The sequence below is a fragment of the Homo sapiens genome, chromosome 12, assembly GCF_000001405.40.
Source record: "Homo sapiens chromosome 12, GRCh38.p14 Primary Assembly".
NCBI lineage: Eukaryota > Metazoa > Chordata > Mammalia > Primates > Hominidae > Homo > Homo sapiens.
Genome location: NC_000012.12, coordinates 92,418,354 through 92,437,512, shown reverse-complemented (window position 1 = coordinate 92,437,512; position 19,159 = coordinate 92,418,354). Strand labels below are relative to the sequence as shown.

Sequence of the window (19,159 nt, the reverse complement as noted above, 5' to 3'; positions counted from 1 at the left end):
AAGAGGCATTCTCTAGAAGCCACTTCCCTTGCAGAATTTCCCTGAAAGATCACTTATTGTTTAGTTTAATATTTTCAAAAATAAGGAGTAACAAGATCTACTAAATTAGATTTGTTAGAAGATAAAGGATTACCAACAGTGGAATGTTTTCAGTTGATTGCAGCATAAAGAAGCGAAATCTAAGGTCATCATGAAGGAAAAGCATGTAAATACTGCCCTTGGATTTCATAGTGACAATATTTAAGGGGTCCTGGCCTAATTCAAGTTTGTTTCCCACTAAGTGCTAGACTTTCTTATCATAGCTTTCATTCCTTAGCTGAGAAATGATTATGAAAGCAGATATTTTCTTGGGAACTGAGTGAATTTCAAATATATGGTGACTTGATATCAGTGGATTAGGATTGTTGCAGCTGTGTGGGATGAAGGGTAGCCAACACACTCCCTGGAGTCCTGTAGAATGCACTTGTTATGAACCGAATGTTTGTGTCCCTCCGAAGTTTATATGTGGAAACCCTAACCTTCAGTGTGATGGTATTTGGAGTTGGAGCCTTTAAGAAGTAACTAGGTTTAGATGAGGTCATGAGCATGAGGCCTCCATAATGGGATTATTGTCCTTTAAGAAAAGAAAGAGAGACTAGAGAGTTTGCTCTCTCTTCCACATGAGGACAAGGCAAGAAGGTGATCATCTGCATTCCAGAAAAAGCCCTCATCAGAATCCAGCCATGTTGGCTTCTTGATCTTGGACTTCCCATCTTCCAGAACTGTGAGAAGTAAATGTCCATTGTTTAACCCACTCAGTCCATGGTTTTTTATTGTAGCAGCCCAGCTGACTAAGACAGACTGGTCCTAAAGTTTCTACCAGCCCCATTAGTGATGGTCACCAATACTCACATGACTTTCATAAAATGGCAGGAATAAGAGCTCCTGTGCTTGTACTAATTTAGAAACTTTACCATCTCCAACTTCTAACTTAGTCCTAAGGTATACAGATAGTCACTGACTGCTGATGGTTTGACTTTATGATGGGTTTATTGGAGCATTAAATGCATTTTTCAACTAGGTGCAGTAGTTGATGCCTGTAATCTCAGCCCTTTGGCAGAGCAAGGCAGGAGAATTGCTTTTAGCCCAAGAGTTCAAGACCAGCCTAGGCAATATAGTGAGACATTGTCTCTACTAAAAGAAAGATGAAAGGAAAGAAAGAAAAAGAAAGAAAGAAAGAATGAATGAATGAAAGAAAGAAAGAAAGAGAAAGAAAGATTAAAAAATAAAAAATACAATAAAATACATTTCTGACATAATATCTTCTACTTATCATGAGCTTTTCAGAATGAACTCCATCATAAGTGGAGGAACATCTGTATAGGCATTTCAAAAGGTAATGAGAAAACAAATTCATTCACTTTCCAAGTTGGTATTGGGCACCTACCAATGTGCCAGGCATTCAGAGTAAGTGGCATAGAAGGTGGAATAGGACAAAGCCACTGAAACACAAGTAGCCGTGCAATAGGGTCCACACTGCATACCAAAAAGAGGCAGGGCGTAAATATGCAAACATATGAAATGACCACTGACAGCAGAAGGCTTAACAACAAAATGACAACACTAACAACAATGCCATGAACTGTTCCAGACACTGGGTTCCTCACAGTCTAGTGGAGAAGGCCATGGAAAGGGCTGTGAGAGGGCCAAGGGCACTGAGGGAGGCCTTCTTAGTAAGGATGTCATACAGATTGCCACAGAAGGAAGAATCCCTTGGATGCAAAGGCAATGGCACGGGCAAGAGCAGAGTGGTGAAAATGGGTGTGCCCGGGTGTCAGTGAATGGTTTAATTTGGTGTGTGGCCGTTTCCCATATACGTGGGTCTGCTCAGTCAAAGAAAGCTGGCCTTAATCTGAAACAAAAATCAAATAATCGACAGAGTGAGACTCCATCACAAAAAAAAGAAATCAAATAATCATAGAGGAATAGAACAAAGAGAAAAGACGATCCAATCCTCTCATTCCTGTACTATCACTCTTTCCTATAGCTCATTCTATAACCTCAGGAAAGACCATCACTGGAGATGTTATTAGGGCCACTAGGATAAACTTTGGACCAGATAGTTTAGGCCAATCCTAATTTCATACATTCTATCCAATTATCCCCAGTATTCCCATTAATACACTCACACATGTAGGCTGAGAAACACTTAGAAACTTCCCTGTAGAGAAACATCTTCACCACTGGCCTTCCTTTGGGCCATTAGTTAAGATGGCCAGAAGGGGGTAAATACAAATCCATATTCATGTTATCAAAGAGAACAGCACAGCTCCAGAGGAACAAAACCCATGAATAGAAATGCTCCAGCCCAGGCAACATAGTGAGACTGTCTCTAGTAAAAATTAAAAAATTAGTCGGGCATGATAGCACATGCCTGTAGTCCCAGCTACTTGGGAGGCCAAGGTGAGAGGATTGCTTAAACACAGGAGGTTGAGGCTGCAGTGAGCTATGACCTTGCCACTGCACTCCAGCCTGGGCAACCAAGCAAGACCCTGTCTCTAAAGAAAGAGGAAGGAGAAAAAAGAGGAAGAAGAAGAAGAAGGAGGAGGAGGAGGAGGAGGAGAAAAGGGGAGAGGGGGGAGGGGGAAGGGAGACAGGAAGAAAAAGAATAAGAAAGAAATGCTTTGTTTGGTGTGGTAGAGGTGGAGAAGCATCATCCAGCTCCCTCTTGAAGGACTTGCCACCCAGCTGTGGGTAGTGAGATGAGCAAACCACTTTTGGCTGTCAGCCCCTTCTGATTGACCTCATCTGCAGACAGCCATCTTGCCCAGTCAAACCCTTCCCAGGTCAGCTTGCATCTGACAACTGAACGAGGCAGAAGCAGAAACACCCAGCAATGTTGACCTGACCCAGGTCAGCTCTAACACGTGACACTCATTCCTGAGCTCTGTGCAGGGTGGGCTGAGGTTTTCATTGTGTCACAGCTTGGCTTCTCACTGAGCCCAGTCCCACATCTTCCCCTCTTCCTTTCACAAGAGTCGATTCCTATTAAATGTCTTGTAACTCGAACTCTGTCTGTATGTTTGCTTCAGAAAATCTAAACCTGTGACGGTTAGAAATGGGGGTGGGTCAGAAAAATTTCAGGCAAGGAGCTTGTACCAGGAGAAGAGTGAAGAATCCCATACCCCTAGGAGGCCATGTGGATGTCTGGAGATGGAGAGGTATATCAATAGGGAAGGGGGACCCAATAAGGGTCAGAGGTCTCTGATGTATGTTAGAGAAGAAGGAATTTATTCCTTTCTTCATTCAATGATCACTTGTAGGGAAGACACTAGGGTAGGCGCTGAACTATGGGGATAAAAAGACACATTCCTGATCTCAAGGAGTTACAGACCAGACCCTTACACTCAGAGAAATGCAAACTTCCTAGAACTGGAATGTTTCAGGCAATAAAGCTTTTTGGAGATTAACTTAGATCTAAAGATGGTTTAGATACTTCAAAAATCTAGACCTCTCAAACAAAAGAAAAAGGAAATTCACCCATCTAATCCCATCTAATTCCCAGTAGCACTCTGAGAAGACCTAGAAGAGACAGCAGTTCAAAGACCCTTTTTGTTTTCTATTTACTTCTTAATCCAAGAGCCATACAGCATTGTTTATAAGAATAAATTCTAATAGAAGTCACTATCTTCCAGCTCCTATACACACCATAAAATAATTAATAATAATAGTAATAAAAATGAGGCCCAGAAACACCAATTAAAGTGGCCCAAGAGTAGTGTGGCAAAATTCAGGTGTCTTGACTCTGTATTGTCTCCCTAATCTTAATTGTGACCTTGGCCTCTCTAGTAAAAAAGGTATGAGATGCTCCCAGAAAAGGATAAATAAATGTAAAATTATAATAACTGAATCCCTGGCAGTCTCCTATCAAGGGCAAAAATAAAGAAGATATAAAGAAATATGCTCTGTAACTTCCTAAAAGGCAACACGAATTTAGAGCAAGCTCCCTGACTGCATTTGCAAGACGTGGCATGAAGATATGGATCTCTGTGCAGCAGGACATTTTCTGTCTTCTTCCAATGGAGCACTTTCCACAAGACTAATATTCACAGGACATAGTGTTACATCTTGGAGTTTCCCTAAAGCTGAATAGAGTAACATCTTCAACTTTCCCTATCCTAAATGACATATTCTACTTCCCTAAAAAGATAGATCTATTTATGTATAAAGAACTTGATATCTTCACTTCCCCTGGATCCTCTCCAATATTCTCCCCCAATCCACATCCCCAAGGAGTTGATGTCATTACTTTCTTTAAAAAAGGGTTGCCAACTGTTATGGTTTGGATTTGTGTCCCTGCCCAAATCTCATGTCGAATTGTAATCCCCAGTGTGGGAGGAGGGGCCTGGTGGGAGGTGATTGGATCATGGAGACAGATTTCTTCTTTGCTGTTCTCATGATAGTGAGTAAGTTCTCATGAGATCTGGGTTTCTAAAAAGTGTGTGGCACCTTCCCCTTCTCTTTCTCCTGCTCTGGCCATGTAAGACATACCTCCTTCCTCTTTGCCTTCCACCATGATTGTATATTTCCTGAGACCTCTCCAGCCATGCTTCCCGTACAGCCTGTGAGCAAAATAAGTGTTACTGTCTTAAGCTACTGTTTTGGGATGTTTTGGAAACAGTGAAACATGATCGAAACAGGTTCTGAGAACTCGAAACTAGATGCTGCTATAATGAAACCTAAAACATGGGTATTGCTTCTGGGACTAGTTGGTGGGCAGAAGTTGGAAGGGGCTGAAAGAGATTTTTAGTAGAAGCTTGGTAGACCTTGAGGAGGCTATTGGTAGATTGTTACTGAAAACTGGAGAAAGGGATCCTTGTTATGTAGTGGCAGAAAGTTTAGCAAGATTGTCACCTACAGTGACGTGGAAAATACAAATATACCTAATAAACTGGTAGATTGGGCTAAGAAAAATTCTAACCAGAATGTTGAAAATGCCAGGGAGTTTCTTTTAGTCATATATAATAAGTGTGTAGGGAGAATGAATTTTAAAAAAAGGAACTGTTACATTTTCAGGAAAATTTTAAGATAATCTATTAAAGATCCAAGATGTTACATTCAAATATAAAACTATTTCTCTTTGTCAGTCTCTCCATAGAGCAGGGGATTCTCAAATTAAGAAAAGGTGTCAGCTCAAAGATCAAACTCAAAAGCCAAAGACCTTTTGTTTGTACCTTAGAAAGATATAAGGTAATGTCTCATAAGCCCTTTGAAACAGAGTTCCTCTAAGGATCTAAGCATATGCTAGGCATATTCTCTCAGTAAACAATGAGTCTTCTAATAATTTTAAGGTTATGTGGTCCCATCACAGCCTTACAGGGATCTCAGGTAGAGAATGGCTTATGTCAAAGAGATTCTTGTCTAATGGAGTATTCCCCAATAAGAATCACAGGAAGTCCTGGAATTTTAAACAGAATTGTACAATCATATTTTGCCAGCTTGAACTTAAAGGAACAGAAATAGTATTAAATGAAAAGAGGTCCAAGAACCAAGAACCTGGAGGGAAGACCCAAGAGCAGTAGGGAATCCAGGCAGTAGGACTGAGACCTAAAAAAAGACCTGCTTGTGTTTGCTGTCTGGATATCAGAGTTGCTATGAGCCAATGACTGTTATGTGCTCTCATTTTCCTCTATTTAAAACAAGAGTGTCTGTAGTGGCTGTCCTATGTATACTTTACCATTGAATATTGCGTATGTAGGTTGCAAATAACTTGTCTCTTAGTTTACAAGTCTTCAGATTGAGAGGATAAATACATAAGAAATCTCACTTGAAGAGCTTCATCTGTACCTGCAACTGAGCCTTCTAAGAAGAGAATGTAGGAGTGTATCTTGCATGTATATATAAATAATCTGCAGCCAGTAAGTGGACTTTAGAATTTTAAAACATGTCTACAATTTTTAAAAACATTTTTCTTAATACAGATGAAGTCTAATTCCTATCCCCTTGAATATGGGGTGACCTTAATAATTCACTTTTTAAAAATAGAGTGGGATGGAAGTGAGGCTACATTAATTCCCAGGCTGGGTCTTACACAGTAATACAGTGTCATCTTGGCTCTATCTTGAAATGCTCACTCTCGCACCGCAGCCGCCTTGTGGTGAGGAAGTTCAGGCCACAAGGAACCTCCCAGGGACCCTAGCACTCAGCCCCAGCTGAGCTCCCAGCCAAGAGCCAGCACCAACTTGGCAGGCATGCGAGTGGGCCATTCTGGAAGGGCATGTGCCAGTCCGTCAAGCCTCCCCCTGCTGATACCACATAGGGCAGAGACAAGTCTTCCCAGACAAGCCCTCCTCAAATTTCAAATTTGTTTGCAAAATGAATGTTGTTACTTTAAGCCATCAAATTTGGGGTAATGTGATGCAGATCAATAGTAACAGGAATAATTTCCCTTCACATACATACAATTTTAACTCCATCCTTACAATGCCAATCTGTAGATAAACATTTTATGATAATGAATAAAAATATAGAGAACTAATATGTAGCTGGCATTTATTGATAAATTAATATAGGCTGGGCCCTATTCTATGTGCTTGACATGGGTTAGCTCAGTTTATTCTTACAGCTCTCTGAGGAAAATACTTTTATTATCTTCATTTAATGATAAGAAAATGGAGGCCTGGAGAGATTAGGTAACTTGGCCTGGACCATACAACAAGAGTGCCTAAGCCAGAAGTCCAGACATTCTTGTTCAGGAGTCTATGGTCATTATTCTTTGTGCTTCTTATAACTGGGATCTTCTAACTTTAACTATTTCACTTATCATTAACACCAGACAGCTCTTTGCTTTCAGAACTCCAGCCTTGACCTTCAGTTGACAGAGCTTCTTGTTCTTACTTGGCAAGTCACAGTCTAAATGTTGTCCATAAATATAAGATTTTCTCAGGTCAGGGGTCAGAGAACTATGGCCCATAAGTGAGTTCTGATCTGCCACCTGCTTTTGTAAATAAAGAGTTAAAAAAAAATCCCATAAAACAGCCACATTCGTTAGTTTATATTTTGCTTATGGCTCCTTTTACACTACATGGTGATTTGAACAGTTATGATAGAGACCATAGGGTCCACAAAGCCTGAAATATTACTATTTGGTCCTTTTTAGAAAAGGTTGCTGACCCCTGACTTAGATCACTGAAGATCCCTTTATGCTGAATTCGTGACATGTTATACAAAGGGTGTATATACGTTAGAGCTGTAGACAGACCTGGACTAAAATCCAGCTCTGTTACCTAACTGTGATCCTGGGAGAATCTCTTAATATCTCTGAATCCTAATATTCTCTTTCAAAAAGAGAACGTTAAGACCTCTGTCTTAATTGATACATGCTAAGATATTGACACATAAACAAAATATTATTAATATGTTAAGAAATTTTACCAATCTTTTGTGATTAGGTCAAAATTTAGGGGACCATGTAATCAGAGGCCACAAAATAAAAGATGCTTAATAATAACAACCATTTGTAACTGTTGGGGTATGTGAAGAGAAAACAGGCATAAACTTCCGTTAGGTGTAAGGCAGAGGTGGGAATTGGTCAGTAAAACTCTGACCAATGGAGGTGAAAGTCCAGGTTGTGAATTTCCTTCTATAGTCTGGATTGTAAAAGAAAAATCCTTCAGGCAGAGATAGCTTCATAGGAAACAGTTTTCCAAAAATCAATTTCTGATTGATTAAATGTCAAGATTTGAAGGAAGAACTTCTGGTTGCTTATCGAGCTAAAGGAATAATCCTATTTTCCCCACTATGACTGAATATATTTCTTTGAGAATATGAGTAAATTTAGAATCCCAAAGGTAGAGTGATTTGACCTGATTAGAAGTATTTTTTTTTCCATTTTTGCACCTAGCAGAAGCAGCTGTCAGCAGGTTAGTTATGTTATCATTCCAACCAAAATGGTTTAATATTTTGGCGGTTGGATTTTTTAAAGTTGATTTAAATAGCTGAAATGGCCAGTTGTTTTCAGGTCCTTAGAGAGGTGAGCAGTCACATTCTGGTTTCTTGGGAGAATTAAGAGAACTGTGTTTTGGAAGGGAGATTTTGGGGGCAGTTAGTCTTTTCTGTCATTCTTGCTGGGAGATCTGTCCTTGGTGCGATAGTAATGGAATCTGAGCTCCTCTGAGCTCCCAGGTGAGGCAGGTCATCCGTGCAGATATTCTTGTATATCTGGCTAAGTAGGGGGGTGAACCAGAATAGTGGGAGAGCCTTTGCTCTGATAAATGAATGGTGGGCCTGTCATGCACACAGGGTGTAAGATGAGCAAGGAGATGGATGCTGGGGCTTGATGAGGCAGGTGATGTGGGAAGCAGCTGAAACGCCCAGGAACTGCTGCGCAGATTCTGATTTTCTTCACTTGAGTTTTTTTCTTTCCTTATTTTCACTTGTCACACACATAAAGGGCAGCGAAATGCCAACCTGACCCAATGAAAGGCCTGGAGATATGAAACTGTAAAAGAAGATAATGATTAAGAACATGTGGAGATGACTGGAGACCCTTGATAATTGTGCTTCACTTTCCTGTTTAACCTTTTAACTAGAAAAAGGCATTCATCTAACAGACATGGTCTGCTTAAAGGAAAAAAGAAGGAAAGAAAGAAAAACAAAGAGAAAGAAAGGCAGAAAGAAAGAAAGGAAGAAAGAAAGGACAGAGAAGAAAGAAAGAAAGAAAGAAAGGCACAAAGAAAGGAAGAAAGAAAGGAAAGAGAAGAGAAGAAAGAAAGAAAGAAAGAAAGAAAGAAAGAAAGAAAGAAAGAAAGAAAGAAAAGAAGAAAGAGAAGGAAGGAAGGGAGGGAGGGAGGAAGGAAGGGAGGGAGGAAGGAAGGAAGGGAGGGAGGAAGGAAGGAAGGAAAAAAGAGGGAGAGAAAATAAGTTTTTCTCAAATCATATAGGCACATTTTTTTACATTGTATCACACCAATTTATCAGTTCCTTAAGGAAATCACAGAATCTAAAAGTGGAAATTTCCTTGGAGGTCACTTTGCCCAGATTTGTACTCATGCAGAACTCTTTTATGTAACTACCTCGGTAGGTTCATTGATTCATTCAACAATATTTCTTGAGCATGATCACTAGATATTGATCTAGGCACAGGGCTGAACAAAAGAAACGAACATTTTTGCCTTCATGTAGACCTGCTTATATTCCAGGGCCTATGCTTGATCATTTCCAGTTATTGAGAGCTGTCAGTTTAGATGCAAGTAAATCAGTTCTTAAGTGTTTAACAAACTCTTTTGGAGCAGCATTTTAAGCACTTTACAAATACAGTAGTAACTCATTTAATGCTCACAGTAAGCCTATAAAGTAAACACTACTGTCATCCTACCCCTTCTACAGATGAACAAATTGGGGCACAACGAACTTAAGGAATGCCTTAAGACTGCCACTGGTAAGTAACAGGGGTTAATTAGAACCCCACAGTGAGGGTCTACAGTGAGGACATGGAGTGCAGTGTTCTAGTTAAGAGTCTGCTCTCTTAACCACTAGGCTACACTGCCAACATTTGTTTAGCTTATGTTCATGATTTGGCTCTATTTCTGCTGGTATTGGCATTTCCTTTTGTTTTGTTCTGAGACGGAGTCTCGTTCTGTCGCCCAGGCTGGAGTGCATTGGGGCAATCTCGGCTGACTGCAAGCTCCGCCTCCTGAGTTCACACCATTCTCCTGCCTCCGCCTCCCGAGTAGCTGGGACTACAGGCGCCCGCCACCACGCCCGGCTAATTTTTTGTATTTTTAGTAGAGACAGGGTTTCACCACGTTAGCCAGGACGGTCTCAATCTCCTGACCTTGTGATCCGCCCACCTCGGCCTCTCAAAGTGCTGGGATTACAGGCGTGAGCCACCGCGCCCGGCGGTATTGGCATTTCTTAGTCTAAAATGATCCCAAGGTTTCTTGGGATCTTCTACTGTATACTCTAATCCCCTGAATATAACCAAACAAAGACAATTCCTTACTCTCTTGACTTACATGATTTATATAGGAGGAGATAGCACCTCTTTAAGATGTGTGAACCCCGCCCCCCCCATCAACTCTCCCTGCCTAAATAAAAGGGCACTGCCTGCCACATACTAGTCAATAAATGATAGATCTTGCTATTAATACGTTTTTGGCTCAATGATTTGCAAGATTTCTCAGTTTAGCTTCCTTCCTCCAGTTTAAGCCTTTAGGATAAGGGGCCAATCAGGCATTACTGGACACATTTTCAAAATTTTTCCTGAAAGCAAATTTTAATAAATGAGAGAGAACTTCATGAGGCTGATGGGAGAGACATTGTCATCACCAACAATGGAATTGAGGGACAGGGAAGGATGCAGAAGCTGGGAACCCTGGAAAGTTCACTCGCATGGGAACATCTTAATGACTGCCTTCCATGGCCAATTAACCAATTTCTCTCCACGGCATAGAGAAATAAAACAGCTCTGCCCAGGTAGCTACCTTGCCTTGTGTCCAGAAAACAACAACAACAACAATAAAAAACCTCATTTATGTCATTTCATCATGGAATAAGAAGTGAGAATGAGTTAGATAAAACTCTGAGCAGAGCAACAATACTTTTTATGTTTTTTCTGAGTCAACTCATGGGTAAATTTAATCCTTTGCTTGAAAGGAATTCAAAGAATGTCAGGTACCTTCTCATTTCAAATGGAATAGTCCCAAAATACCTTCTACCATCAAATCCCAATGATTTCTGGATTATCTTTCACGGCTCCTCTTCCTGTAATGGATGAAATTAATCTAGTCCACTTTCTTTACACCTGGTTTCATGAGCCTCAGCCAAGATGACTGAGCCAATCCTCCTACCTGCAAATTTGGCTGATGAAAAGCATAATTCCTCTTGCTTCCCCACTTTTGCTTCTCTCACTGCAAGTAAGAGGCTCTGCTCTACATAGAATTACTCTCCTTTTCCATTCATGCAAAGCCTACCTTTAAATATGTCTTTTCTTGCATGACATTTCCCAGACATGCTTCTAAACATAGTTTGCAGCTTCTCCTGTGTGCCCCACTCCAGTCCTGCCCAGAGGGCCATTACCCAAACTAGGAAAACAATTGACTGGGTGAATATTTCCATGCAGAGGGGTGGGAATAGCTGTTGAAAAACCAGTCTTTTTTTTTTTTTTTTTTGAGATGGAGTCTTGCTCTGTCACCCAGGCTGGAGTGCAGTGGCATGATCTCAGCTCACTGCAACCTCTGACTCCTGAGTTCAAGTGATTCTCCTGCCTCAGCTACCCGAGTAGCTGGGACTACAGGCGCCCGTCACCACACCCGGGTGATTTTTGTATTTTCAGTAAAGACTGGGTTTCACCATATTGATCAGGCTGGTCCTGAACTCCTGATCTCAGGTGATCCGCCCGCCTTGGCCTCCCAAAGTGCTGGAATTACAGGTGTGAGCCACCACACCTGCCAAAAACCAGTCTTTTTATAATAGACAAGATGTAGGTATATAGAAAGCAATAACAACAGCTACTTCATGTGGGTATTCCAAAGGCTGTTTTTGTGAGTTTGTAAAAGAGGGTGTCCTTTAAGAATTTTTCACACTACAGAGTACTTACTTTTTTTCTAATACAGTTTTAGGGTGCCATACGTATCTGCAAGAAAGGTTTTTAAAACTAATCAATTTTGACACCCATTCATGAAACTTTTTTTCCAAGATAAAGAAAAGTTGGCAAAAATAATTCGAGACATTTGCCAAGATCATTCAAAGAATTTGGCTTAGAATCTGAGTCCCTGGGACCAAACAAAAATATTAACAAGTCAGGTGGGTTTCTATTTCATCCTGGCTGGATATTTTTAAGTGCTTGCTGCTTGTTAGTCAGGGAAGAAATGGATCGTAGGTCATTAACTTTAAAAAAAAAAAAAGAATATTTATTCTTTTGAATTTTTCCCGAATGCTTTGAATGGATTTCTGTTGCATTATTGGCTGAGTATATTCTTGTCAGGATAATCCACTTTTAGAGGCTTCATTTACATTAGCTATCACTCCAGAGAGCCATAGTAACAGGCTGCTGAATTACCCAAGAGAAATTACTCTTGAAAGCAATCATTGTGAATGAATTTTCATCACTTGGTCTCATCATTTCATGCTGTTTTGTCTCTTTCCTTTTTGCCCCTGATAAAAGATAGTCATAAAGAGGGCTTTTGTTATGATCTCATTTTCTTTAGAAAACTTGGTCTTATTAATCATAGCAGCCAGCTTATGGAGGCAACCAAAGCGTATCTCTCTGTCTCTCTCTCACACACACTCTGTCACACACACACATACACACACAGAGTTTTTGAAATGCATTTCAATTTGTGGGGAACATAAAGACTAATTTACTTCCATCTACGATATCTCACACAAATTTGCTTTTCATGTAACTTCATTGGTACGAGGAATATGTTTAAGTACAGGGGCTTAAATACTGTACTGAATACTACTGTACTGAGTTTGTTTTACATTACCAACACACGCGCAACAGTTGAAATTTAAAATTTTTGGACAAAAACGTAGAATAAATAATATGTTTTTTACTTACCTGTCCATAATGTATACCTGGCTTTATGAAAGTGACATATTGCTCACACATCAACTCAGGGTAGGAGAATATAGAAATGTAAAATAATATCTTAAGAAGTAATTTGCTAAATCGTATTCTGTTGTTTTGAGAAAATAAATAAATAATCAGCTTATTTATTTCAGAGTTAGTCTCCAGATCACACTCAATTACTAAGTTTAGAAAACAGATAATAGCACAAAGGCTGCTAGCAGAATTGTCTGCGGCAGGTCTGTAAATAGAGGAATGAAAGGAGCATTTGTTGAACATCCTCAAAACAAGCCTAGGAGATGATTATTATAGTCTCCATTTTATAGATGAGGAAACTCAGGCACATAAAGTTTGATTTCCTTGCTCATGAGTCATGCAGCTAGTAAGTAAAGGAGAAACACAAGTCTGCCAGAAGCTAAGGCCTGGGTTTTCTTCCTTGGGAAAACTCAGAAATACTAAGTTGCAGAAAACAATCACAGGCTACAATGGAACTTCGCCAGCTCTACTGTGCATATGAATCCCGGGGCATCTTGTCAGTATTTATATTCTGATTCAGTGAGTCTGGGATGGGACCTGAGATTCTGCCTTTTTAACAAGCCCTCGGCAGATTCTGATGCTGCTGTTCCAGGGACCAAACTGAAGTAGCAAGATACTTAAGATTACAATATAAAATTTTACCTTCAACCCAAATATGTTATATCCTACTCCAATTCTGTATTTTTCTGATAGTTTCCTTTCTTCTCTTCTCTGATCTTTTTGTCACTTTTCTCTATTCCTGAAGAAATTAGAGCAAACCACTGCAACATAGTTTTTCTAGCATCCTTTAGCTAACTGCAATGAAATGTTAGGTCAAGTGTTATTTTTCCTTAGTTGGTAAAAAAAGAAATGTGATTTGTGGAATCTGTGGAATCTGAATGCTAAAAGAGAATTTACTCTCACCCTCCTTTATTTCCTTCCTCTGATATTTCTATTTCTCAGACCTCCCTCTTTTTTTTACCTTCTTCCTTTTTTTTTTTTTTTTTTTTTTTTGGTCACACTTGTTATACTCAATCTCTGGCACTTTTACAAAAATATTTTAAACTCTGCATTATCACTTTTCCCCAGTATTTTCTCTCCTTTTATGAAATTGAGCCCTATGGCTCATTTTATTTCCCTTAGCTTTTTAGTTAGATAGCATGACGTTATAATTCAGGCATAGTCAAAGCTGCAAACAGTAGCATAATGTTATTATACCTGAGTTAGACTGCCTGAGTTAATAGCCTAGGGTGACTAGCAGTCTTAACTTGGGTTAGATATTTAAACTTTAGGAGCTCAGTTTCTCCTCTTTAAGGTAGGATAATAGTGGTATACATATTTGGGTTATTTATGAAAAATAAATTTGACAAAAGTTAATTCACATAAAGGACTTAGCATAGTGCTTTGAATGGTGTCAGCTATATCATAATTAAAGATTATTTCCCCATGGGGCTATGGGATTATCTATCTGGACAACTGAGGATGGTGGCATGTAGCCCAGCAGTTTCCTTACATGCTGTGACCCAGCAAGCTGAGCCAGCTCTGTCTTAGGCACTTCCTGGAAGCAGGCTTATTGGTGTTTTCAACACCCAGAGTGGATCATTTGTTAACTCCTTCCTCCTCTATTCCGTACATTTCTTTTTCAGTAATAATCCTGTAATAATCAGTAATAATTATGCTTTTCTTGATTCGCTCTTTAGTTTTATAACAAATACCAGTTTTAAAAAGAAGAAAGCTGTAATTTCAGTGATGTTACTTAGTCTTGTAAAAATACTTCATGTACTTAAAATTGTGTCTAAAAAGCCAAAAATATTCCAGCATGAAGTTGACACTCTGTTTTACTATTCAAAATTTTAAGCACAAGTAAAAACTCTCAGTGGTTCCATAGAATGACAGAAGCAAGCAATTTTGGTTCACTTATTTTGTCTACACAATCACTGTGTTATCATTCTTGATTTTGAATCTGTGATTTGAAGAAGAAACATGTGGTACCCCAAAGACTAGGGCCATGAAATACCCTAAGTATTTACCTGAGTCCTTAAGAGTCAGGGACTGTATACCCGAATGTTTCCCATAATCATTTTCATGTTGAATTCAATGTTTGTTAAGGAACAGGTAATAAAAATATGCAAACTTGAAAGTATTTATATATTTAAAAGCTCAGTGGTGACCACAACAATTATTTAGAATTCAAACCAAGAAAATGTTTTTTCAGGGAAGAGTATTTGACCACTAGTATGATTTAGAATTATGATGCATGGCAATAATTATACCAAACTGCATTTCAGTGACTCTATTATTTTTTCAGATTCTCTACAGACAGTGCAGCCTAGTATCTCCCAGACTTGTACTTCCTATGGCCCTGCACTTGGGGCCCCACTGCCTGGTAGAAATGAAGGTTAGTGTTCGAAAGTATTTAAAGAATCCTGCTAATCCCTATTTTATCCATAAATGTCATCTGTCATAAAGAAACTTTTAGCAGTTTCTCAACTTCTGAGAGGTCTTGTGGGAGGTTTTGCCATAAAGTGCTCTTGTTGAGCTCTTGATATCTATAAGCTGATGCCCTGGGCTTGTCCCAAATGATGCCTCCCACCCATTCATCAGCAGGACACTATCCCAGTTCACACACCTATGCCCCATCTCCACATATGTTTCACCAAAACCATAAATTTTGAAATAGAGTCAATATAAATGTATAACATATTGTATTAGGGCTCTTCAGAGAAAAAGAACCAATAGTATATTTGTGTGTGTTTGTGTATGTGTGCGTATACAGTCATGCACTACACAATGACATTTCAGTCTACAAAGGATTGCATATATGATGGTGATCCCATAAGATTATACCATATTTTTACTGTACCTTTTCTACATTTAGATATGGTAGATACATACATACTTATCATGATGTTATACATACTTATCATGAGGTTACAAGCTACACCATGTAGCCTAGATGTGTAGTAGTCTATGCTGTCCAGGTTTGTGTAGTTACACTCTATGATGTTTGCACAATGATGAAATCACTTAACAATGCATTTCTCAGAACCTGTCTCCATTGTTAAGCAATGCATAACTGGATATGTAAATAAAATGGAAATTGACTCACACAATTATGGAGGCCAAGAAGTCCCATGATCTGCCATCTGCAAGCTGGAGAACCAGGAAACCTGGCAGTGTAATTCAGTCCAAGTCCAAAGAACTGAGAACCAGGGAAGCCAAAGGTGTAACTCCTGGTTTAAGTCTGAAGGCCCACTCACATCCAAGGGCAGGAGAAGATGATATACTAGATCAAGAAGAAAAGAAGCAAATTTTCCCTTCCTCTTTTTGTTTTATTCAAGCTTTCGACAGATTGGATGATGCCTGCCCTTATTGGTGAGAGCCGTCTGCTTTACTAAGTTCACCAATTCAAATGCTGATCTCTTCCGAAAACACTCTTATGGACACACCCAGAATAATGTTTTACCAGCTACCTGGTCATCCTTTAGCCTAGCCAGGTTGATGCATAAATTTAATTATCACACATATAGTCTTACCAATTAGTGACCTTTTCATTCTTTATGGTATTTAACAGTGAAGATTTGTAGATGGTCTGTCTACTTGGTTTTATAGGTTTTGATCAGCACTCAGAAGCTCAGTTTGATCACCCTAGTTTGGCCTGAGCTGAAAGCACTGAAACAGTGAGTTCTTTGGGTCTTACTTCTAGAAACCAGGAAATGAGAGAGATAGTGACTTGGTTTCTCTTATGTTTCCCTTTTGTTCTCTTCTCAGTGGCCTTGCTAACAAGTTTACCTCCAAACTATGAGATTTCAGAAGGAAAACCAAGAGCCATCTCTGCATATGTGAGAGCGGGCAAAGGAAATGTGACAAGGAGAAGAAAGAAGACACACTTGGGCAATGATGATGGGAAGAAGGAAGCACAGGAGAAAATGTAAGAAATGTACAGGTGAGAGAGATCAGGAGAAAGATGGGAAATGTGGGAGAGCAGCAGGAATCATAACAATAATAATGCCAATTTGGAAACGAGAACCAGTGTATAAAGCATACCAATAAGGCCAACGAAGTGCCAACGATGGAAAGCCACCCTATCAGGAGAAAGTAAAGTCATAGCAGATGTTTTATGAGACAGCTCAGAACACAATGACTGACCAAGAAAGCGGCACAAGTTAGAGGTGGAGAAATGACCCAGACCCAGACCTTTAGGGGTCCTGAACTTGGTTCATACCTCATGTCAGAAGGAGTAGTGACCAAAAGAAATTCTCTTTGCTTTAATTATAGAAGCAGGAATATACCTGATTTTGTATGTAACAGCATATGTTTAAGATCTGAATATTTCTATACCCAAAAGCATAATGTATTAGGGTTAATCATTTGAAATTGCCAATATGCACTCATTTTACCTATAAAAACTGTAATTTTGCATGGTTCAAACTAATAGATATGAAGATATTCTCAAGCAAACTTTTTTTTCTTTTGCCTTGAAGCCCATGAGGAAGATCCAAAGAGAACTTTGGCCTTAACTAAGCTTCCTACATTCTCCTGGAGTCGGTGGTTTATGAATGTGGTGCCATCTGGGGAACTGACAACCCCTGATGTGTTCACTCTGCTCGTCTTCCAGGTGAGAGAAGAAGAAGGCGAGAAAGAAAGAGAAGTTCCAGAATTTCACAGGCTGAGGGAGATGGTAGTAACTTCTGTTTATGTTGGTTTCTGTTTATTGGTTTGCTTTTTATTTTGAACTCGTTTGACTTCAGGTTCCAGATTTGTTTTTTTCTTTGTAAACGAGACTTTGACATTGTTAGCAGGCCCATCTGTTTGCTTTTCTTAAATAAAATGTAAATTGGTTTTTGTTTTAAATTTCAGGTGCTTTTAAGTTTGACTCTGCTATTCATTTCCTAAGGTAGTTTGGGCATGGTAGTGCTGGTAAGAACAGAGAAATCTTGCTTTATAGAATCTTTTTGTTCAAATGAATGTACATTTTTAGTATTCGAAAATTATCAGTTTTAATAGGTTTGATTTTCCTGTCTATAATCTGTGTTTTCTTCCTTATTCCCTCATTCTTTCCTATCCCATGGGCTCAGATTTATGCTCTGATCAAATTTCTTTTCATATCTTTCCACCTCACAACACACACAAGAAACCTAATACAAGCCACTATCTGTTTCTTTTTCAATGGAAAAGAAAAGGATTCCTATGGGATCATACTGATTCCTGTGGGCCCCTTGCATAAAAGATTGTAGTGCATTAAATAATGACCCTCCATTGGCCAATCAATCATTATTGAGCACCTAGTTTATGTGGAATACTGTTCATACAATATCTTGAGTAATGATGGGAACAGATTTCATGAGAGATGTTGAAATACTCATGGACATAGACTATCTTGGCAATTATGCTCTTGAGATTCTTTTATAATGGACACATATTTGGAACAGAAAAAAGCTGGAAACTTTCACAAAGGTTTGATCCAATGGCTTTTTAAACATGAATCTAACCATTGTGAAGTTTGGCATCTACTTTGTACCCCCAGCAGTGCCAGCCCGTGTAAGGTATGCAGGTAACAGACAGATGATTGTACTGGGAGTGGTGAAAGTCCTGCCTTAACAAATATTCTCTGTTTTCTCTGCCTCTGTCATACTATAAAAATGTTTTCTTCTCTGGGATTATTTTAAAGATACCTTTATTCCAGGTAGTATTTTATCCCCTGGGAGACAGATCTTATCTAACCACAGATTAGAAAGAGCAGCTGATCTTCAGCCTGGGTGACAGAGCAAGACCCCATCTCTATAATATATATATATATATATAATATATATATTTTATATATAATATATATATATAATATATATATTTTATATATAAAATATATATATTATATATATAATATATAAAATATATATATTTATATATATATTTTATATATATAATATATATATATATATATATCAGATTAGGAAGGCATGGTGGTGTGCACCTGTAGTCCCAGCTACTCAGGAGGCTGAGGAGGTCCAGGAGTTCGAGGCTGCAGCAAGCTACGACTGTGCCATTGCACTCCAGTCTGGGTGACAGGGAGAGATCCTGTCTCTGAAAAAAAAGGAGGAGAAGAAAGAGCAGCCGATCCTATCTTCACATGGCAGGAAACAAGGTCATGAGCAGTGGCCACACAGGACTGTTTTATTTTGATATAATGGAAGTGGCATGGGAAAATGCGAAAAGAAAGGTCACCCTGAATAGCTCTAGGGAAGAAAAAGAATGTTGGGCATTTCAACAAACAGCATTACAGAAAAGAAGAAGCAGATGCCAAAGAGGGGAACTGAAGAAATGTCAGTGATAAATTCACTATTGCTGTAAATTACTATTTGCCCAACCTGACTAGGGAAGTTCCAGTGAGCAGTGGAACAACTTGATGTGGAGCCTGGGAAACTTTGACCAGCCATCTAGATGGGCAGACGTAGGGTGACCAGTTCATCCAGGTTTACATGGAACACTAATTTAGTTTTTATTTTATTTTTAAATTTGTTATCTTTTTTAAATGGACAAATAAAAATTCTACATATTTGTGGGGTACATAGTGATGTGTTGATACATATAATG

General features: G+C 39.1%; 2 long non-coding RNA genes across 4 annotated transcripts, besides 3 other annotated features; one reads left to right on the top strand and one right to left on the bottom strand.

Moving 5' to 3' along the window:
* Window positions 2,720-2,779: an enhancer, noted in NCBI's record as "active region_6736". NCBI's record gives its function as "activates an Ori minimal core promoter by ATAC-STARR-seq in GM12878 lymphoblastoid cells {active_cell/tissue: GM12878}" and the evidence as "EXISTENCE:reporter gene assay evidence [ECO:0000049][PMID:35858748]".
* Window positions 2,800-2,859: an enhancer, noted in NCBI's record as "active region_6735". NCBI's record gives its function as "activates an Ori minimal core promoter by ATAC-STARR-seq in GM12878 lymphoblastoid cells {active_cell/tissue: GM12878}" and the evidence as "EXISTENCE:reporter gene assay evidence [ECO:0000049][PMID:35858748]".
* Window positions 4,323-4,622: an enhancer, noted in NCBI's record as "active region_6734". NCBI's record gives its function as "activates an Ori minimal core promoter by ATAC-STARR-seq in GM12878 lymphoblastoid cells {active_cell/tissue: GM12878}" and the evidence as "EXISTENCE:reporter gene assay evidence [ECO:0000049][PMID:35858748]".
* CLLU1-AS1 (CLLU1 antisense RNA 1) lies at window positions 4,514-17,427 on the top strand. Of its 2 annotated transcripts, NR_164161.1 has the most exons (4): window positions 9,365-9,418; window positions 14,877-14,966; window positions 16,340-16,514; window positions 17,053-17,427. It is a non-coding gene; the product is annotated as a CLLU1 antisense RNA 1 (long non-coding RNA). The 2 variants fall into 2 exon arrangements; NR_144319.2 differs by lacking the exons at window positions 9,365-9,418; window positions 14,877-14,966 and adding an exon at window positions 4,514-4,603 and having other exon boundaries at window positions 16,340-16,499.
* Window positions 6,511-15,982, bottom strand: CLLU1 (chronic lymphocytic leukemia up-regulated 1). Of its 2 annotated transcripts, NR_027932.1 has the most exons (3): window positions 15,678-15,982; window positions 11,579-12,135; window positions 6,511-8,479 (listed from the first exon to the last, which is right to left on the bottom strand). It is a non-coding gene; the product is annotated as a chronic lymphocytic leukemia up-regulated 1 (long non-coding RNA). The 2 variants fall into 2 exon arrangements; NR_027933.1 differs by lacking the exon at window positions 11,579-12,135.
* Window positions 17,428-19,159: the final 1,732 nt, after the last annotated feature.